At 36.4% G+C, this 23945-nt stretch overlaps 1 protein-coding gene across 3 annotated transcripts in view; it reads right to left on the bottom strand.

Annotated features, from left to right (window-relative positions):
• Nucleotides 1-23945, bottom strand: part of GPC6 (glypican 6) — a 1191492-nt gene that overhangs the window by 847340 nt on the left and 320207 nt on the right. For all 3 annotated transcript variants that reach the window (XM_047429990.1, NM_005708.5, XM_017020300.2), the window contains exon 2: nucleotides 15260-15418. In XM_047429990.1, coding sequence (XP_047285946.1) covers nucleotides 15260-15368 — 109 coding nt within the window. In that variant the 5' untranslated portion in view covers nucleotides 15369-15418. The remainder of the gene's footprint in view (nucleotides 1-15259; nucleotides 15419-23945) is intronic.

Genomic DNA, 23945 nt, shown 5'->3' with positions numbered 1-23945 from the left:
GGTTTCACAGTGTTAGCCAGGATGTTCTCGATCTCCTGACCTCATGATCCGCCCGCCTTGGCCTCTCAAAGTGCTGGGATTACAGGCATGAGCCACCGCTCCCGGCCAAGGTATTAAGCAAAATTCTAACAAGGAAGGCAATATATTTTGTTTGTTTGCTGGACACAGGGTCTCACTCTGTTGCCCAGGCTACAGTGCAGTGGTGTGATCATGGGTCACTGCAGCCTGGACCTCCTGGGCTGAAGTGATCCTCCCCACTCAGCCTACAGAGTAACTGGGACTACAGGACAGGCACACACCACAACACTTGGTTAATTTTTTTTTTTTTTTTTTTTGGTAGAGATACTGTTTCGCTGTGTTGTTCAGGCTGGTCTCAAATTCCTGGGCTCAAGTGATCCACCTACCTTGGCCTCCCAAAGTGCTGGGATTAAAGGAGTGAGCCTAACTGCAAATCCATTATTTTTTTCCTTTTTTAAAATACTTTCCTCAACTTCATCTAAAATGAATGGCCCTTAAAATATGTTTCATTCAGATGAGGAAAGGAAGAGAAAAGAACCGGATTAATCCAATAAAGAGACCTTAATACAAACTCAATCAGAAGACTGTTGCACTGTTTTTATTGAGTTCTGACATTTTCTGTGTAGACTGTGCAGCGAAGGCACAGCATTACTCATTGGCAATAAATCCATTTAGGTGTGCAGGTGATGCCCAGATGATGTTTATTCTAAGGAATCTTAATGTCTTGGCCTCTTCAAAAACTGCACAAATAAACTTGGCTCAATATTAACCACAGTTAGTGAACCTTAGGATAAAGAAATGGGATTAGTCATCCCGTGATGCATTCTGCATTCACCCGTGGCATCATGCCAAGGGTACCCCATGCTACTGTGTATTCACTCCATTCTTAATAACTTGAAAAAATGGAGATGTTAGCTGCCTTTAAGAATTATGCATTTTCTATGAGGATTTAAGGTTGCTGAGAAGGCAACTATGAACAATCAATAGCTACTTAATAAACGCTGTATAAATGTATAGTAAGTAAATATTCATGTCTTTTTATAAAGTAGACTTCAACAGAGCTCTAGAGGCTCTGGGATTTTCAGTGATCTGAAAAAATTGAGTGCAGAATTTGTTTGTATTCATCCATCCCTAGTGATCCATATACTAAGTCAATTGTGTACTAAATTGTTACTGAGAAAATTCAATTCATTACATGTACTGGGCAATTATCATCAATCATGTGCCCAGCACGGTTGTTGGTTAGAATATACATAGTAGGATCCTTGTCCTATATATTTGTGTATAATACTGTGGGGGAAAACTTTATGCAAGATATTTGAAAGAAATATAACATTTTACAAGTATAACACATGAAATTTAGCAATTTCAATAGACATTTGCCTTTGAAATTGGAACAGGATATTATCATGAGAAAATTTTAGAAAGACAACTGATTTCACATACTGAGATGTGGTATACACAGCACGGCCTTCTGAGAGATATCAACTTAATGTTCATTTTCATAATCAGATGAAGCACCTACCCATTTTTGTGATAACACAGTTCATATTCACTTTGGCGAGAAATCTGAAAAGTAGAATAGCATAGGACAAGAAAAGTCTACTCTTGAACCTACCACTCCCCACAACCACTGCTGAATGTTTGTTGCATGGGCTTTGAAGGGAGGGCCACTATTGTAGTGGCCACATATAAAAATTCTCATACATAGACCATATAAAAACCTAACTCAGTGATAGACTCTCAGGAGCACACTGTTTATTTAAAAATAGTGTTATACAAACACACACACTAAAGGATATACGGAACCACTTGAGCATATTTTGCTCTCTAAACCGCATGCCTGCTGTCAGCCATCAATTAAACACAACAAACCCCACAGTGTAAACCTGTTAGTCGTTGTTCAACAGGGATTTAAATTTGTGTCTCCATAACTTCAAACTCCACAGTCAATTCAATTATTTAAATGAAAATAAACAAGCACTCCCATTGATTTTCAGAGAATAGACTTAATTTTCTACTTTTGAAACATATTCAAGGACCTTAATAATGGATACACTTCACTTTGGTTCAAGCTTTGTTTCATCATGGAAACAAAGTATCCTCTGTATCACTGTATCACTAGTAATTTCCCATCTCCATGCCTTCAATCCTATTTCCATGTTTCGAATCCTTCCTAACCTTCAAGACAGTTTACATTCTGTCTTTTCACAAAGCCATTTATAGTCTTCTTGTCAAGAAATAATTTCATTCTCTTCCATGATTTTATCTGCATTTTAATTCATGGTACCGATCAGCATTCCAGTTATTTATGCTCTTATCTAAGTGGCTCTATAGGACTGTCAGGGTCCTTATAGGTAAGAAAGTGAGCACTATGACAGTGATGAGGATGAAGAGCAGAGGTGAACCCTCATATATTACAAGCGCACTCTTTGCTAGACTTATGCTAGGCTTTTTATGTATATCGTAGTTTCAAAACAGGTATTATTATACTTATTTTACAAATGAAAAACTAAATTTTTTTCCCAGAGAGTTTAAGAAACTTACAAGATCATTTTGTCAATACAACGCACCTCCTATACTTGAAACACATTCTGTGAAGATCCAAGGCCTGTGCTATTTACATGGCTAAAATTTTTCTAAATAAAACTTGACATAATGTCATAGATAAAGACCCTTCCCCAACTATGGAGAATGAATGAAGAAAAGACTGTAGACTGTTTAAGGCATCTAGAATCTACATGGGAAAAAATAAGAAATGCCTAATTTAGAATTAGAAAGCAGAAAAATAATCTCAGCCATTGGAAGAAAAAAAATACCAATACATTTTGGGAATGTGGCTAGTAATTTAAAAATATATAAAACTTATATTAGTTAAAACTGGCCCCCAAACTTCTTCAGTTTCAGAATACGTTTTGGAGTTCTATGCGCCAGACAGAAGCTAAGTCGTGGAACTAACAGAAGGTTTTCACTGATTGCTAATCTGCTATTTGTAGGGGGACTTGGAACCCTCAAGGGCTGAAGATATTCTTAGAAGCTACTTCTCTTAGTAAAAGGTTTTCAGCCACTGCCCAGAGAATGAGAACAAGCCTGGCTGGTCTAATGATCAAGGGAACAAAGTCAGTAAACCTTGGACTAGTGGTCAAGAAGAACATTTTAAACAGTTCTTATTGTATGTTTTTATCTTCCTTAAATCTCTACTTTGCTTAAATCATTACTTAATGGAAGAATTTACGTAAGTACTTCCTTAACCTATTTTTTTTAACATCAATCATAATATATTACACAGATCTTCAGATTTATATTGCTGTAGGCTTCTACTTGTACTCTAAATAGAGACAACCAACTCAATTATGGAAAAAGCAGTCCGAAGTTGTACTGACAAAATATCATAAAGTATGTGTGGAGGGAATATTATACCCAGAAAATAGGAAATTCCCTCATGCTCACAGAGACTGTATTCTACTTTTCATTTTATAATTATAAACTATTTAACACAGGAATTAAGACTTCCAATTTATTTTATTTTTTCAGAAGTTATTTGAATAAAGTTTCATGACACCAAATATTAATAATTTTACATTACATCCTTATCCCAGATTCCTTAGAGATCAGGCACTTTTCCTTCAATTAGGCATAAAGTCATTTTAATCCTTTAACACATTAAAGTTAAATTATACAAGTTTTCTACAATAACCATACCTTATGTTTGAATCAAAGTGTGCTATGAAAAAATATAGTTACACAATGGAGTACTATTCAGCCACAAAAAGAATGAGATCCAGTCATTTGCAATAATATGGATGGAACTGAAGATCATTATGTTCAGTGAAATAAGCCAGGCGCAGAAAGACAAACATCATATGTTCTCATTCATTTGTAGGATCTAAAAATAAATACAATTGAACTCATGGACACAGTAGAAGGGTGGTTACCAGAGGTTGGGAAGGGGAGTGACGGGCAGCGAGTGAGTGGTGGAGAGGTGGGGCTGGCTAACAGGTTAAAAAAAAAATTATTATAGAAAGAATAAATAAAACCTATTATTTGATAGCACAACAGAGTGACTATAGTCAACTGTAACTTAACTGTATATTTTAAAATAACTTACAGTGTAACTGGACTGCCTGTAACTCAAAGAATAAATGCTTGAGGGGATGGATACTCCATTCTCCATGATGTGCTTATTTCACACTGCATGCCTGTATCAAAACATCTCATGTACCCCCAAAATATATATATATATATATATATATACATATACATACATACACACACACACACACACACACTATTTACCCACAAAAATTAAAAATAAAAAAATAAAATAAGATACTGCGCTTCAAAACATATCATCCTAGCAAAAAAAAGTAACCCAAAAATTAAAAAGTATTTTACCAATTGTGAAAAATAAACACACATTAGGTCCTTATGAACTAGAAAATAAATGGAAAAAGGATAATAATTGTGTAGTTCATAAACTTAAAAATGCAAAAATCCACAGTATACATCTGCAAAAGTTAAAATGAGTTGTTGATCTTGGGTATAATTGTATAATTCACTGTCAAAATTGAAAAGAAAAAGGGGTAACTTAGTTAACATATAAAAGTCATTATTTGACGGGCAACAGGTTCTTGAATGCCACCTTAGATATGGAGGCCTGTTACTGGCTGACCTTAATATGTCAGAAGAAAGATTCAAAAACTTCTGTCAAATTTCTTTGCCCCAGCTCTACATCCTGCTAACTAACCTCTCAATTCCACGTAAGCCAGTGTTAAGTGTGGTGGAGCAGAGAACACTCGCTTCAGAACAGGAGATCCTTTCTGAGTTCAGTCCAGACCAAAGAATGGTCATCTCTGGTGTTGAACCCAGCAATCTGTATATTAACTGATTCTCCAGGAAATTCATGGACATCTTAAACATTTCTTATTCACGCCTGTGTGTGTGACTGTGCATATGTGCATACTTGCAATGGAGAAAAACACGTTTATCCTGTTTTTTATGATAAGAACCTCTACTTGCTTTACTCTAAGTAAAGGCACTCTTTGTCCGGGGAATTTAAAATTAGTTCCATTAAATCCACTGGAACCAATGCTGCTGATATCACATATGAATTCCAGGTTTATGGACCCTAAGAGTTAATGGATAATGAGAATTCAAGGTTCCCTATTTTCTTCTGTCATAATTATTATAGGAATATAAGTAATTCATTTAACTGGTCTGTGCCCTTGAGACTGCACAGGTTGCTACCATTGTCACACAACACTGCAGCATTATTAAATATACTTCATATTAAGTCAGGTATAGGAAGATAAAATAGAAAGAGGAGACCTAATCTCTGAACTTAATGAGCTTAGACTTCAACAGGGAATATGCAATGGATCATAGTTTTTAGAAGAATACTATTACAAGAACATTAAATAAGTGAAAATGATAAAATGTCAACTCTAGAAGCATTAAGGAGAAAGAGACAGGAAGACTGAGAGAACTAAATCCTGTAATGACCACAGAACTATTCTTTCAAAAGGAGAAAACATGCAAATAAATTTTAAAAAATAAAACAAAATACGTGGAGAAATCCAATTTCTTCCAACATTCAAAGGCCTTGGAGCCCCGATTTCCTGCTATCTTACTTCAAAGTTTGCTTTTCATGTTCAAGTCGTTTATATTCTACTGGACTGCTAGGAAGGGAGGAAACAGTGTGAAGACTGTAAACTACTATATATAGTTTTCCCAAGAATATTTGTTCGTTTAATGAATATAGCAAACCTTTTGCAAGAATAACAAATGGCACATTCTGAAACTGTGATGAGTGATTTTTAAAAATTTATCTGAGCACTGTGGACCATGCACAGTTATTCTTAGCTGGGCACTGGTTCTTCCTTCACATTTGGGTTCAGGATCCTGTTCTTGTCTAAGGGAATGCTTGGAATGACAGAAAACGGCTTAGGCCAGCTACCTCTTTTTTTACATTTGCTAAAATGCCAAACCCCAGGAGCTCATGTCAATGTTGGTCATTCAGTGAAAAATCACCGAGTGACTACTGAATGATATGGAAATGTTATTTGTAATGCATTTGATAATAAACACTTTACACTGTCATTTGAATCTTGCCAAAGTTCGGGTTTGGATATTTTCCTTATTTTGATGTCCATATGGCTTACAAACAAAAGTTTAACAAATTCAATCACACTTACCAAGGAGATTTAAAGATTAAGCCTCATTTTAACAGGCCTGTTCATGTGGATAGATTAGAGATGTCATTTCCAGCGCAATAATAATAGAATATTGGATGGGAGCATAAGCTAAGTAGCCTGGAATTGAGTCAAAATCCTATAGGTTGTGTTCAGGTTTGCAATTTGAAAATGACGTGCTCTGTATAATTTACTGTTGAATATACAAAAATTGAGAGCAGTAACAACCGCTGACATTGTTCCGTATGTACAATGGATTCACAGTCTGGATATCTTCAGTCCTGTGTATGTTCAAGTCAGCTCTCTCTCTCTCTTTTTTTTTTTTTGACAGAGTCTCACTCTGTTGCCCAGGCTGGAGTGCTGTGGCACAATCTTGGCCCACTGCAACCTCCATCTTCTGGGTTCAAGCGATTCTTGTGCCTCAGCCTCCTGAGTAGCTGGGATTACAGGCCTGCACCACTACACCCGGCTAATTTTTGTATTTTTTTTTTTTTTTTTTAGTAGAGACGGAGTTTTACCATGTTGTCCAGGCTGGTCTCAAACTCCTGACCTCAGGTGATCCACCTCAGCATCCCAAAGTGTGGGATTACAGGCACGAGGCACTGTGCTGGCCAACTCTCTTTCTCTCTCTCTTTTAATCTCTTTATTATGGAAATTCAGAAACTATACACAACCCAGAATAGTCTATGAACTCCCTAAAGACTCATCAACCAGCTTCAACAATGATCATCTTTCTGCCCATCTCATTCCTCTCCTTTTTTTTTTTTTTTTTTTTTTGAGATGGAGTCTCGCTTTGTCACCCAGGCTGGAGTGCAATGGCACAATCTCAGCTCACTGCAACCTCTGCCTCCTGGGTACAAGCGATTCTCCTGCCTCAGCCTCCCGAGTAGCTGGGATTACAGGCGCATGCCCCCGTGCCCAGCTAATTTTTTGTATTTTTTTTAGTAGAGACGGGGTTTCACCATGCGGGCCAGGCTGGTCTTGAACTCCTGGCCTTCTGATCTGCCAGCCTCGGCCTCCTAAAGTGCTGGGATTACAGGCGTAAGCCACTGCGCCTGGCCCATCTCATTCCCTTCTACCTGCCCATCGCAGTATTCCATCAGGACATGGTTATATCCTTTCAGATAAAGGTTCACTGAAATCATTTTTCTCATATTCTTAGAATACAAAAAGCATACAAGTGCTGTTCTTATGGCTTTACTATCTTATTTGTTTTGGAAAAAAAAAGGAACTCTTACACTGGCTCAGTGGAAGAAGAAAGAATAATTTTTTATCCCTATTACTTATCACTAAGGAACATAAAGAATCTGCTGGTACCAAATCCCAGAGAGAGTGAGTGGTTTCTACTCCATTTCCCACTGTCCCACTGAAGATCAGGCCTCACTGGAGATCATGAGTTTGCTAGTGTTAAGCACACTATGCAGTTGAACCAGTCTACTGAGCTACTGTGTTCTCCAGTCAGAAGACAAAAATGTTTCCAGGGAGCTGTAATTTACATCCCCATTAAATATTTTTTCTTGATTTTCATTAAAATAAGAAAATAAGTTTTCTCTACTTAGTAGCAGATCAATTTAACTTAAATAAAATTTCTCCTGTAATTCACCCATACTTACTCAAAGGATTAGTGAGCCTCTGTCAGAGAAAGGATACTTGTCTGCTCATTAACATTCATTACCAAGAACCCTTCTGGTAGAACTGGTTTCAGAGTCTGATAGAGCAATACTTAAAAGAAATTGGCTTGTCTGTGAAACAGCTGCTCAGCAAAGCCACCATGCAAGGGAATTGGTGATAATAAGATGATAATATTACAACCACACTGGGAGCATAATGTATTTCAAGTTACTTTGAGGTGTGTGGTAGGGGTCTTAGAATTAGAAAAAGATTGGAAGTTCATCACTGAAGCCAGAGCTGATGATCAGCAGCGTGTAGCCTTAGTTTTGAAAGATCTGTCAAAGTTCAAAGAAAGAAAGAGAGAGAGAGAGAGAGAGAGACAGAGAGACAGAGAAAGGAGGAGGAGGAGGAGGAGGAGGAGAGAAGGAAGGCATATTCCAGTTGTACAAAGATCTGGGTTCTACATGCACCACATTTAAAGGACCCCCTACCAGGATCTTCTCTTTCAGCATTGTAAAAACAAAAGGCTTGAAAGGCGTTTGTGATTTACAAACCTGTTCAATAGCTCTGTCAAAGCCAAAATCTCTAATTGGACGATTTTTATTTTTGGAAGATCTGCCCTTTGGGAAATTGGCAGATTACTTTCCCATGCCAGTGAGACTGCTTCTCTAATTTCTAAAACTCAGTTCAGCGCATTCTGATTTCAAGAAGAGTGTCCTTCAGATGGAATACATGTCGCTGAGCTGGTAGCCTAGCAAATGTACAGAAGGCATTCAGCTAATTACTTCCTAGAATGATTAACATTATAAGCCCTATGAATTGCAGTTACCTATAATTCTGTGCAATGATTTAGGACAGCCGCAGCACAATCCACAGAAATATTACATCTATTTATCTGTATAACATTAATAACATCATAGAGGGGTGTATGTTGTAGTGTTTGTGTGTGTATGATTATACACGTATTTGTTAGTGTGTTAGGATATTGGGGGTAGTGAGACAATTGTGTCTGTCTTGCTGTGATTTATTTAGAAAATAAGTATTTTTCTTGAATTCCTAGGGAATCTATTTTTTAAAAGTCAATGTGATTAGTAAAACATTGGGAAGTAGCAAGAGGCAGTCACTTAAGGACTATGGTAGATTATGATACAGAAATAATCATTCCTTTCCCCACCTCCACTTCCTTGGGAGTAGTATAATCTCTTGTCCCACTAATGTTGGAAATTGCCATGAGATTTCCTTTGGCTTATGAACCTTAGGAAGACAGTGTGGCAATTCTAGTTTAGACTTTAAGGAGCATTCTGCCTCCACCTGTCGATATTAGCATCTCCAAACTCCACTAAGAGAAGAACATGCTTAAGACAGAGTACTGCTTTCAAAAGAATAACCTACGTGTAGACCAGACCAGAACAAAATGACTCTAAATGCATAGTTTAGAGTCAAGCCTGCATGAGCACATCTTAGAACAGCCAATCTCTAGTCAACCCAAAGATGTACTACGGAAAAATAAACACTTCTTGTTTATGCCCTGAAATTGTGTTTTTTTTTTTTTGTTAGAAAACAGTAAAGGGCTGGTGCAAGGAATAAAACATTGTGATAGAATATCTATCTAACAGATATATGCTAAATGTCAATACATTAACATTGTTGAAAATAAAATCAATGGTAAATTATTTACAATATGTCTGACAGACTTTGTGGACTTGCATACAAAATCTTTGATTCATTTTGTCTCGTCCTGGGACTTCTTTAATTATCATAATCTTAAGACATTCTTTGAATACTGAACTGCAAGCTCTTCCAAAAAGTCTTCTTGGATGCCACTACATAGAAAACTTTCCTCCCTCCTCTTTGCAATGGACTTCTACTTTAGGATACAAGTAATTCTGCCTTTCTTACTCTTAGGTTTATACTTATGTCTCCCCCAAAACGTAAACTCCTTGACAGGCAATGACCAAATTTTAGTCATTATTAGTCATTTTTTAATCTACAACAATACTTGGTTAAGTGCCTTCTCTATGGTAGGCTCTAAATGAATGTTTTCAAATAGAAATCACACACACATACAAAAAATATCACCCTTGTGACAAGAAATGTGAAAGATGCTATCACCATATGGAAACCTATTTAGGGTTTTTTCCTTTTCAAATAAGTGTATTCTCTGAGAAAATTAGGCCATATATTAAAAAAATCATTACGTTATTGCCACCTCTACAGTATATAGATGAGAAATGATACTTAAAAACAAAACACAAGCAGATTTGCAGTGTAAAAATATTATGTCATTGTATATAAATTATTTCTGCATCCAGTTCAATGGGTAGTCTGCAGGTGTTACTATAGAATAAGTTCTTCATAAGGATAGAACTTACTGTTCAATATTTTTATTTTGCTTTTAAAAATGTACTGGCTGCCAAAATTTCTGGACATATGTATATCATTAAAATACATTAATAAAAGCCAGGAAGGAAAGTAAAATAATAAGACCAAGAACACATAAACAAAAAACTTCATATGGAGCTCCAAATGTGAATATATTTCAGCTCAAATAAATCCAAAGGAAAAAGAACCTAAACAAAATATCCCTTCAATTAAATTCTCCTGCCTCTGAATAATCCATATTCCACAGACATTCTTGGAGGATAGGGTGTTAGTGCCAACATCAAGACAGAAACCACTAGGCTTTGTGAGGTAAAAAATAATAATAATAATACATCTTCATTGATTCAACAAAGGCTTTTACAAAAAACACCCATTCCTCTTTAATTTAGGGACAAATTCCAATTTAATACTGTTCCTGCCTTTCTCAAAGATATGGGTAGATTCTTTACCCACCAATATTTCTACTGCCCTTTTAAAGAAATATCAATAATTTTTCAACAGTATCCATTCAAAAGAAATAGAAATTGAGAATTTCAACCAAGTATTGACTTCCTATATATAACATGACTATTTCTAATTTTGATTTAAGTATTAGGTTTCAGTCTTGGATTCATCATTCTTAGTGGAAACTTGGCAAGTCATTTACCCTGTCAAATCTCCAGATTCCTTGAGGGCTGGACTATATTTAGGTGGGTAATTTTTTTTTTTGTAGGAGTTAAAAACAAATCTTCCACTTTTCCTTGACAGTCATTTCCACATCCTCCCCACAATAACTAGGACAGGACAGGCCCAGCAGGGTGAGATAGAGGGATAGGCGGTGTTGACCACAAGACGCCAGCACATCTGGGAACTGGAAAGCACTGGAGAGATGATGTGGTAGGTGGCTCAGAGCAGAGATCCAGGAGTGCTCAGCCTGGGATGGAATCCTGACTCTGCCATTTATTATAACATCTGCGTGACTGCACTGCAGTTTGCCTCAAATACCTAGGGTTAAAAATCCATGAAGGGCAGGGAACAGGGTCAGATGTTGCCTCTTATGACTACTACTACTAGCTGAATATTTGCCTGTTCTCCATTTCCTCTTACACGTGAGCTACTTGGTAGCCAACAGCAAAAGAGGACTTAGACACAAATGCCAATTTGACAGGCTAATCACTAAACACAAAAATACTAAAAATGAGTGAGTACACAAAGATGACTCTCCCCTTGTCTACGTTTTAATATGCTTTTGTTTATTGTTGCCTGGGGTGTTTGGCAGAGGAGAGGAAGGTGAGAAGGAAGGGAGTAATGTGATCATTCTGCCTGATGTACTAGATTGGGTCTTCATCCATCCAAAATTTTAATCCTGGGGAGCAACAGAAAAGCTGGGCTTGGCTACAGAGCATATTGAGAACATCCCTGCATAGTTCAGGGAGAACTTTTGCAGTGGCCAGGACCCAGACCAAAGGATAAGAGGCTTACAGGGATGTGTAATGAGAGCCAGAAATTGAGATTTGGCTGGAGAAATAAGAAAAAAAGCAAAACAACAAATACCTTGTCAGACCCTTGGAGAAGCAATGTCAAGAAACCTCTATTACATAGACTTTTATCATGACATTTTAATTCTATATTCAAAAACTTAAAAAAGATATACAGCTATGAGAAAATTCTCTGCCAAAGAATTAAAATTTCTGGAATTGATATTATGTATTTCTAAAATTTGTTGCCTCTCAGGTATGAATGCTAGGCTAATCCTGGAGCTAAGCATAGAAACTTAGGAAGGTTGGGTAATAACTCGTACTGATTCCACTTTAACTTCCTACCATCCGATGAGTATTTATAATTTTACAAATTATAAAATTATAGTGTCTCTTCTAAATGTTATCAAAATATCAATTTAAAAAAGACAGAGAAAGTAAGACAATAAATAGAATATGGTTTTAAGTTAACCGTATTGGAATCTCAAATTTTCAAAACAGTCACCACTGCCACAAAATAAAAAGTTAAATGGAATCAAAGCATTTCTCATACAGTAAGAAAAGTGATAACCAGAGATTAATCATTACCAGTGATTGACTTCAGCTTCTCTGAATATATCTTGGACTGGATCACATGTATGCAATTTAAATTGCTGCTGTACTTAATAAAAATAGAAAGAAAAGTCATCAACCTTTCTTAATTTTAATTAAGCAGTGGTTTTTCATAAACAGTATATAGCCAACAAAGACATACACAATCCAAATGACAAATTAAGACCTCTGAGAAAGCAGAAACAGAGGAAGAACCTCAAAATAGACAAGATGGATGAAGAGACTCCAGCAATGATGCAAAATGACTAACCAAATAGGAAGTTACTAAAAATAAACTCAAAGTCTTTTATAGTACCATTGGTTTTATGTGGGAAAATAAAACTCAAAGAGGGTAACATTCCATAACTGGACCTAGATACTTCTTTTGTGCTCACATCAAACTGACATTCATCAATAAGTGACATGAGAGAGTATTTGGGAGGAAGAAAGGAACAAATGGAAAACTACCCACATGAATGCACAATCACTCATGGAAGGTGACTTAGCAGGCTCACCTTTGAGACAAAAGAAAATAAATCATACCAGTGTATAACTGACCCTCATGAATCTGCCCAGAGAAAATAGCAGAAATTGTGACAGTGACTTTTTAATTGATGATGATGATGATTATTATTATTATTATTAAGTCTAAGTGCTTCAGGAGTTGAGATTATTAGAATCACATTTAGATTCTCTTTTTTTTTTTCCCACTCTGGCTGAAAGCCTCCAAAAAAAACAAAATCTTAATTTCTCTCCCATCCAACTCAATGCAACTGCAATAAGATGAGTGGTTGCTAAAGAATTCATCCTCCCTTAGGTCAGATCTAATCTTAGCAAAATCAATGTCCTGTCAAACTGATTGACATCATACCCTTAGGCACATTAGAACAATTCAAAGTATACCTATATACCTATAGGGAGGGAGTAAGTGAGAGAGTGGAGAGAGGTTTCTTTAATAAGACAAACCAGATGTGGGATTAGAAACTATAGATGCAAAGATATTAAAAGTTATTGATATAATACAAGAAGTAAGTATAAGGCTCGTCTTGTTTTGTTTTGTTGGTTTTGTTTTTGTTGTTTGTTTTGAGACAGAGTCTCACTCTGTTGCCCAGGCTGGAGTGTACTGGCACGATCTCGGCTCACTGCAACCTCCACCTCCCAGGTTCAAGTGAGTCTCCTGCCTTGGCCTCCCCAGTAGCTGGGACTACAGGCGCCTGGCACCACGCCCAGCTAATTTTTTTTTTTTTTTTTTTTTTGTATTTTTAGTAGAGATGGGGTTTCACCACGTTGGCCAGGATGGCCTCAATCTCTTGACCTCATGATCCACCCGCCTCAGCCTCCCAAAGTGCTGGGATTACAGGCATGAGCCACCATGCCTGGCCGGCTCAGTCTTGGTGAATTGCTTTACTTGTTTTAAAAATGTCAACTCTCCATAAAGCTACCTAATATTTAATATTTTTTTGTTAAAGAATATATATCATCTACCATGAATACTGTCCTGGAATTATTTTAAAATCACTTTGGAGTACAGCTTTATAAACACAGTAGAGCTTCTTTCTTGTTTCTTTCTTTGTTTGTTTGTTTTCCCAGAGACACAAGTCAAAATCACTGGCAACAGATCATTATCACCTGCTTTATGTAACAAATGACAAAACAGCTCAAATTGCTGTAGCTTGAAGTGATAGAGTGTAGTCCTCCAAACACAGAGTCCTATCAGGGGCTTCTGAATGTCACTGGATTTGTAACCTATAATCAAGAGTAACCCCTAAGTACTCCCTAGCTGCATTTAAGGGAACAACATTCACAGCATCACCGCTAAATAAAAATTATTTTCATATACATCCACATATAGTTATACACAAGGGAGAGCCAAAGACAGAATGTGAGGATGTTGAAACACACTTGCAGAAAGATCAAACTCCGGTCACTTACACAGAAAGTGTCACATCATTTGTACTGAAAATACCAGGTAGACCTGTCTTCCGTAACTTTGAGAACCAATTTGAAAAAGATCAGTGTTGCTGTAATAGTTTAAAACAGCAATAAAATGGAACATTTTACCTACTACACAGAAAATAAAAAAGAAACATAAAAACTTTGGCCAACCTTTCCTAAACTGGCTCTGCTGTGCATTGACTGAACTGAGAGAAGAAAATTAATAGCAGCTCTTTTGCTCTAGGGTAATGTTGTAGGACCAACGGAGCCAAAAGAAGGTTCACCACAAGGTGCAAGTCTGGTTTACAAGAAATCATGGTAAGGTACATTCATTTCTTAGAGCACTAAAGACAACACACCTTCTAAAAATACTAAATTTATTGTTATCATTGTTGATACTGCTTACAAAGAATCAAACTACTTTTGAATATTTTCAAACTATTCAGGCTCTAATGCGAAAATTCAATGCTGAAATTTCAGTCGTAATTTGTAATATAAAAATGTTTATTTAACAAATAGAATATAGAAATAACATTGACTGCTTATAATCAGGATATCAAAAGAGGGTCTAAACCTTATACAGAATGCATAACTGCAATGTAAAATGTGCTATATGATTGCAATGGCAAAGTCTAAAATAAAGGAATCTGTGTTGCTGACATTTAAAACAAGCCTTTCCTCTTCAAATGTGATGTTATATTTCAAATAATCTTAAATTACGCTTATTTTTTAAGGAGAATCCCCATATGAAAACTAGACAAGCTGCAGTATAACAAAACCTGAATTATAATTCCTCTAATAATGAAAACTTGAGCTAAATCTTTACAATAAATCTCACAGGCAAAGCACAAATGCAAAACAGCTCTTTGTTAAACCAGGTTTTACCAAGATATTACTAAAAAAAAAAAAATTACTGTCAAGAAAACTCATGCTTTTTCTAAAAATAGACAATGCTATAAATATTTAAGAGGGATAGAAAAGCTCCCTTTTTAAAAAAATATTTTTCATATGATACCAAGATTCTCATAGAAAAGTGCACCTATAACAAACTGAAGTGAAAACCATTTCACCTACCGTCAAATTTCTTATGCCTGGACACAAAAGTGGTGCGCACAAAATGGCTTGTCTCTTCCACAAGGTTTTCAAATTCGAGTTTGCTTTGTTGGCTTAACTTGTCTTCCATTTCTGTGGTGCAGCATGTATATTCCTGAGGACAGATTCTTAAGTGTTCCCCTGCAATGAGAAGTTAAATGTCACTATTGCATTCTAAGGACTTTTGGTAGACGTTAGAGATTTCACTTCTCTAACACTTTGCTCAAATCTCAGGGTGCTTGTTCCATCTACTTCTCCAGCCATCCCCATGAACTCTATCTGGGCCACAGCACATCAGTGTATCTAACATTCCAAACATGTTGACTTAAGTTGAACCCGATATTTAGTCTCTGTTCCTCATCATATAAGTGAAGGTGCATTAAAACTTCAAAATACTGTGGCATTTTTTCCTGGCTTTTATTTTTAATACATCAAGTAAACATCAGGTGATACAACAACACAAGATGTAATACAGCTATGTATGCTTTTCTCGGGAAACCTCAAGTAAGGCAAAAGACACTTAGTCCCATCACCAAAAGCAAGAAAAGATGATAACTGTCCCTTGGGTTCTCTTTCTGCAAGTCTGTCCCTGGGTATGCATCAGCTTTTCTCTAAGTCCAAGTGAGTGTGTTTTTAATGGTAGGTCTCATTCGCTAAGTTGACATTTCTTGTCAGACAGAAAACATTCTCCAGAAAGAAGGAAGTCACTGATGGGTTTAATTAATGCTTACGTTATAAGGAAATGTAGAATGAAAGGAATGAAAGCCTTGTATTTAATTCAACAGATCTATCTACTGCTTTCGACAACACTGCTTTCTTTAGTGCTATTTGCAAGTAGAAGCCAATCCTTTGCTTCATGAAATTAAAATGGCCTGTTATTGCATAAAATGTGAATTTCCAATTGAAGCAGCTCAGTTAGTGTCAAAAATCTTTCTCACAGCCTGTGGAGGGAAGAATGGAAATCCACCCAATGTCTTGCTAAATAAAACCAACAAATTGCTCCTGCTATTAAAGTCACCATAGGACACTGAAAACAAATGAACAAAGTGCTTGACTCTGTGATTAAAATTCATTTATAATGTTTAATAGTACTTATAAAGGTATGTCCTATGACCTTGTGTGAAGTATAGGTTGTCTCATGATTCTTCGTGTAGTTTAATGCTTAAGCTCCTACTTAAAACAACAGCAGAATAAAAAAAAGTTTACAAGTACATATTAACGTTAGGTCTTTTGCTGTTTTGAAGTCATTTTTTTTTCTTTTTTTACTGTTGAGGTGTTTGAGTTCCTAATTAAAAGACACTCAAATGTCCAACAATTACAACAAAAAAAAAAGGCTCACCGTGACTAATCATCCGGGAAATGCAAATCAAAATCACTGTGATGTATCATCTCACCCCAGTTAGGATGGTTGTTATCAGAAAGATAAAAAATAACAAATGCTGGGGAGGATTCAGGGAAAAGGAAACTCATATACTGTCAGTGGGAACGTAAACTATGATAGTGTCTATGGAGAACAGTATGGAGGTTCCTCAAAAGACTACAAATAGCATCCAGCAACCCACTCCTGGACATTTATCTGAAGAGAAGGAAATCAATACATCAAAGAGACGTTTGCATCCCATGTTTACTGGAACACTACGCACAATAGCCAAGATATGGAATCAGTCTAGGTGCCCAAAAACAAACAAACAGTTAAAGAAAATGTGGCATAAGTACACAATGGAATAGTACTCAGCCTTAAAAAGGATGATATCCCGATGGATTCACAGCCGAATTCTACCAGAGGTACAAGGAGGAACTGGTACCATTCCTTCTGAAACTATTCCAATCAATAGAAAAAGAGGGAATCCTCCCTAACTCATTTTATGAGGCCAGCATCATCCTGATACCAAAGCCGGGCAGACACACAACCAAAAAAGAGAATTTTAGACCAATATCCTTGATGAACATTGATGCAAAAATCCTCAATAAAATACTGGCAAACCGAATCCAGCAGCACATCAAAAAGCTTATCCACCATGATCAAGTGGGCTTCATTCCTGGGATGCAAGGCTGGTTCAATATACGCAAATCAATAAATGTAATCCAGCATATAAACAGAACCAAAGACAAAAACCACATGATTATCTCAATAGAGGCAGAAAAGGCCTTTGACAAAATTCAACGATGCTTCATGCTAAAAACTCTCAATAAATTAGGTATTGATGGGACGTATCTCAAAATAATAAGAGCTATCTATGACAAACCCACAGCCAATATCATATGGAATGGGCTAAAACTGGAAGCATTCCCTTTGAAAACTGGCACAAGACAGGGATGCCCTCTCTCACACTCCTATTCAACATAGTGTCGGAAGTTCTGGCCACGGTGATCAGGCAGCAGAAGGAAATAAAATGTATTCAATTAGGAAAAGAGGAAGTCAAATTGTCCCTGTTTGCAGAAGACATGACTGTATATCTAGAAAACCCCATCGTCTCAGCCCAAAATCTCCTTAAGCTGATAAGCAACTTCAGCAAAGTCTCAGGATACAAAATCAATCTACAAAAATCACAAGCATTCTTATACACCAATAACAGACAAACAGAGAGCCAAATCATGAGTGAACTCCCATTCACAATTGCTTCAAAGAGAATAAAATACCTAGGAATCCAACTTACAAGGGACGTGATGGACCTCTTCAAGGAGAACTACAAATCACTGCTCAATAAAATAAAAGAGAATACAAACAAATGGAAGAACATTCCATGCTCATGGGTAGGAAGAATCAATATCACGAAAATGGCCATACTGCCCAAGATAATTTATAGATTCAATGCCATCCCCATCAAGCTACCAATGACTTTCTTCACAGAATTGGAAAAAACTACTTTAAAGTTCATATGGAACCAAAAAGGAGCCCGCATCACCAAGTCAATCATAAGCCAAAAGAACAAAGCTGGAGGCATCACGCTACCTGACTTCAAACTATACTACAAGGCTACAGTAACCAAAACAGCATGGTACTGGTACCAAAACAGAGATATAGATCAATGGTACAGAACAGAGCCCTCAGAAATAATGCCGCATATCTACAACTATCTGATCTTTGACAAACCTGAGAAAAACAAGCAATGGGGAAAGGATTCCCTATTTAGTAAATGGTGCTGGGAAAACTGGCTAGCCATATGTAGAAAGCTGAAACTGGATCCCTTCCTTACACCTTACACAAAAATTAATTCAAGATGGATTAAAGACTTAAACGTTAGACCTAAAACCATAAAAACCCTAGAATAAAACCTAGGCATTAGCATTCAGGACATAGGCATGGGCAAGGACTTCATGTCTAAAACACCAAAAGCAATGGCAACAAAAGCCAAAATTGACAAATGGGATCTAATTAAACTAAAGAGCTTCTGCACAGCAAAAGAAGCTATCAGCAGAGTGAACAGGCAACCTACAAGATGGGAAAAAATTTTCGCAACCTACTCATCTGACAAAGGGCTAATATCCAGAATCTACAATGAACTCAAACAAATTTACAAGAAAAAAACAACCCCATCAAAAAGTGGGCAAAGGACATGAACAGACACTTCTCAAAAGAAGACATTTATGCAGCCAAAAAACACATGAAAAAATGCTCACCATCACTGGCCGTCAGAGAAATGCAAATCAAAACCACAATGAGATACCATCTCACAGCAGTTAGAATGGCAATCATTAAAAAGTCAGGAAACAACAGGTGCTGGAGAGGATGTGGAGAAATAGGAACACTTTTACACTGTTGGTGGGACTGTAAACTAGTTCAACCATTGTGGAAGTCAGTGTGGCGATTCCTCAGGGATCTAGAACTAGAAATACCATTTGACCCAGCCATCCCATTACTGGGTATATACCCAAAGGACTATAAATCATACTGCTATAAAGACACATGCACACGTATGTTTATTGCGGCACTATTCACAATAGCAAAGACTTGGAACCAACCCAAATGTCCAACAATGATAGACTGGATTAAGAAAATGTGGCACATATACACCATGGAATACTATGCAGCCATAAAAAATGATGAGTTCATGTCCTTTGTAGGGACATGGATGAAATTGGAAATCATCATTCTCAGTAAACTATCACAAGAACAAAAAAACCAAATGCCGCATATTCTCACTCATAGGTGGGAATTGAACAATGAGAACACATGGACACAGGAAGGGGAACATCACACTCTGGGGACTGTTGTGGGGTGGGGGGAGGGGGGAGGGATAGCTTTAGGAGATATACCTAATGCTAAATGACGAGTTAGTGGGTGCAGCACACCAGCATGGCACATGTATACATATGTAACTAACCTGCACATTGTGCACATGTTCCCTAAAACTTAAAGTATAATAATAAAAAAAAAAGGATGATATCCCATCATTCACTGCAACATGGATGAAACTGGAAGACATTATGTTAAGCGAAATAGCGAAGAAGAGAAAGATAAACATTGCATGTTCTCATTCATATGTGGAAGCTAAAAAAAGGATCTCTTGGAAGTTGAAAGCAGAACAGAGGATACTAGAGGCTGGGAAGGGTAGAGGAAAGTAAGAGGTCTTTGATAAGGAGATTTGTTAAAGGATACAAAATTATAGCTAATAGGAGGAATAAGTTCTAGTGTTCTACACCACTGTAGGATGACTATAGTTAACGATAATATATTACATAGTTTCAAAATGCTAGAAAGAGGATATTGAATGTTCCCAGCACAAAGAAATGATAAATGTTTAAGATGATAGACATGCTAATCCCCCTATCTGATCACTAAACATTTTATGTATCAAAGATCACTATGTACCTTCCATAAATATGTATAATTGTATAATTATTTTATGCCAATTAAAACAAAATAAAAATAAAGCTATATCTTATTAAATTTCTAGAAAAGGAGACAAAAAATAAATATATATGTATTTTTAAAAGAAGAGGAAATGCATTATTCTTGAAAATGATAAACATCAAATTCAAGTTAATAATTCGCTCCTAGGAAGGATTAGGATTTCAGAGAAATACTCCAATACTTTTATCTATAATCATTTATTTCTTAAGCTGCTTGATGGATATATGGTACTTAATACATTATCTTTACTTTTTCTGTATGATAAAAATATTTTGTAACAAAAACTGGGAAATATGTTATTAAAGCTTAGTAGTCACTACAGTTTTGCTAGAGAGGAGGTCAGAGGGTAGCTGTGAAGAATGAAAAAACAAGCAGCCCTTGACCTTTAGAAGCCAGCCTGGCATTCATTCTGCTGTTACACGTAAACATTCTCACAGAATACCAACCTCAGACAAGACTACTCTGAGACCACAAAAAAAATCGACCAAGTAAGGCCACTTCATAGTTTCGTCTAAGCACAGAAAACAAGGTTACTGTGCCATTCAAAAAGTACCAAGCGGCTGGGCACGGTGCCTCATGCCTGTAATCCCAGCACTTTGGAAGGCCAAGGCAGGCACATCACCTGAGGTCGTTAGTTTGAGACCAGCCTGACCAACATGGAGAAACTCTGTCTCCACTAAAAATACAAAATTAGCCGGGAGTGGTGGCGCATGCTTGTAATCCCAGCTACTTGGGAGGCTGAGGCAGGAGAATTGCTTCAACCTGGGAGGCTGAGGCTGCAGTGAGCTGAGGTCACGTCATTGCACTCTAGCCTGGACAACAAGAGCAAAACCCTGTCTCAAAAAAAAAAAAAAGTACCAAGCACTTCCTCTCTTGGCTAATATGATGGACTTCTTTACTAATCACAGATTTATCCTTGTGCTAGTCTTCCATTTTGTCAGCAAGACTTATTGAAATGCCTTATTAGAGAATTACCTTATTATAGAATTAACTCTGCTTTCTGACAGCATCCAATTCCGCGTGAGCCCGACTCTATGGACCCTCCCCTAAAACACACAACCAAAACCCATATCCTATAATAAATTCTTTCCGAGATCCTCTTACTGAGACATGGTTCTCCATGATATATGCTTGGTCTTGCAATAAATTATAACTAAACCTGTTCAACTACAAGGGTATTCCCGATCATCTTTCACGTGATGATTTCGACAACACCAAAATGGAACACTGCGAGTTGTGAAATTCTTCCCAAAGTGATTATGATACCCACATCCCACTGAGAAGCATGGTTCTAGAGCTAAAGACCCTAGGATAGAATAAGTTGACTATCAAAAGCAAATGGTCCATCAATCACTAATTTTCTTTTTAATAAGATATCAAGCCCAAATTATAAGGACAAAAATCAAATATCCACAATCAAAATCTCTAAGTGTTTTAATGACTTTTATATTGTCATTTGTTATTTTTCTTAATAACAAAAGAATATTGGGAGATATACCTAATGCTGGATGACACGTTGGTGGGTGCAGCGCACCAGCATGGCACATGTATACATATGTAACTAACCTGAACAATGTGCACATGTACCCTAAAACTTAAAGTATAATAAAAAAAAAAAAAGAATATTGTAATAAATGATCATGTTCTCTTTTTACATACCCATGAGTATTTAAAAAAATAGAACATTCAGTGGAGTTATGGTTTATGGTGAAATAGATGTTAAGGGCAGTGCATAAAGAGAAAATCTTTCCTGAAGGAAACATACTAAATTCATCAGTAGAGTACCCAATACAGGGTTTTGTGAATATCACCCAGAGAGTAGGTGACTTTCTCAGTCAGTTCCTTTAACTCTACTTTGCTTGATGTTTTTCTGTGGCTCTCAGTTAATTTCATCATTTCTTTCTTAGGAATATGGCGGAAGCCCTCCCACTTCTTTGCGTGACTATTTGAATACTATTTTCAGTTTCAATCACCTTAAGAAAGTTAAGGCAGCAAAACGCTGATCCTGGCCCAGTTTTATTCATGGCCTGGGGCATGTGAGCACAATTGTCAGTGATTTAAATTATCTTGCTGTCTCTTCACTTTCTCTCTCCATACTTATCTCTCTATTCTCCATCTCCTCATCTCTCTAGGTTTCTTACTCCCAGGAATACATATAAACATAAAGAAATGAGCTGACCTCTTAAGAACATTTCCAGTTCTATGAACAATCTAATAGTGCACTGAATTAGTAAGGCAGCTTCTTACATATACCTCCATGACTCTAAACTTCTACACACATGGAGAAAAATCTCTGGGAAATTTTTATCTACTACTACTTAGAAGAAAAAGTTAAGTATCTAGACATCAAGGTTACCCTGACAGCTTAACAATGAACCAGAAACATGGCCACTACATTTTTTTTTTCCACATAAACCCAGAAAGGGCTTGTAGTTCCAGCTTATGTTTCCACATGGGCTGGGTGTTCCTTAAACTGCAATGATTTCATGTCCAAAAATACAGACAACCTTTCATCCTGCAAGATACCATGATTTGCTCTTCCTTCACTCAGTATGAAAGTGCTGTTCATTTTTGAAAATTTTTTGTATTATATTTTTTGAGATTTTTAAAATAACAAGTCTTCCTGATATTTTCAGTTCTTTATTTTAATTTCATATTTCTAGTGTGATATCTAAGTAACAATTACATTAATATGGGTATTAAAAGGTGACATTGTAATTTGACCTTACCACTTACTAACTATGTGAAGTGAGAAGGAAATGCTTAACAACTCAATTCCTCATCTGTAAGAATGGAAATGATGGTAACAGGCTAGGAGATAGAATAGGGAAAAGGTTTAGCTCAGAGCTTAGCAAATTTTCATTAAAGTAGATATTTTAATTTTATAAACTATAATATGAAATATATCTAAGTAATGATTTTAAAATGTTGCTATGAGGATATCAAAAGTTTTTCTTTACTATTATAATTTCTAATACGTAAAAATACAAAAGCTCCACGTGTAAACACACAAAATGACTAGATAAGAGGAAATAGGTTTCTTCAAAATAATCAATCTATTATTATCTAATTATTATTGGAATTGATAACTGATTGATGTCCACAAAGAATAATTCATTGCACATTTATTTTCTATTAATTCTTTCTAAATTTAAGTGAATAAATACAAACTAAGTATAGTAGATGCAAGATAGTTTTCACCATTTTCAAAATTTTTCCAGACATAAAAGTTAAATTAACAAGAACTATCCATCTATTGGAAGGTGGTACAACCTCCTCATATCATGGCAAGAAGAGCAAAGGTTTAGCAAGATCAAGTAATTAACAGTTGCTAATGTCCCTAAGCTATGTCTGATCATCTAATGTTGCTAAGTTATGACAACAGCAAACTTACGAAAATTTTTCTGGGAGGAAAAGAGACATAGATATTTGGGGCGCGGGTGATGGAGGTGTCTTCAGGAAACTTTCACATCACAAAGTCTAAGCAGGCACCACTCATTATTATCCCTCATTCAGAAGAGACCAGCAGCTTAACAGTTAACTCTCGTGGAATATTTTCAAATTGTTTAGGGAATAACAAACAAATTGACAAAATGAAAATGTTGTTGCCTGTGTAATACTGCCTTGAGTTATTTACTTTAAAAGGCTTCCGTATAAACACTGGTATGCATGTGTGTATATAAACTTTAATCTATACCTTTAGGAACAGTTACCATTTACAGTACTTCAAACAGGAATCTATACACTTGGGGTGGCTATGGCAAGCTTTCAAAAAGTATTAACTAAATCAATATGAGGATTTACTAATGGGCA

The sequence above is a fragment of the Homo sapiens genome, chromosome 13 (genome assembly GCF_000001405.40).
Source record: "Homo sapiens chromosome 13, GRCh38.p14 Primary Assembly".
In the NCBI taxonomy this organism is placed as follows: domain Eukaryota; kingdom Metazoa; phylum Chordata; class Mammalia; order Primates; family Hominidae; genus Homo; species Homo sapiens.
Note: the sequence above shows the minus strand (reverse complement) of the source record. Positions and strands in the feature narration are given on the sequence as shown.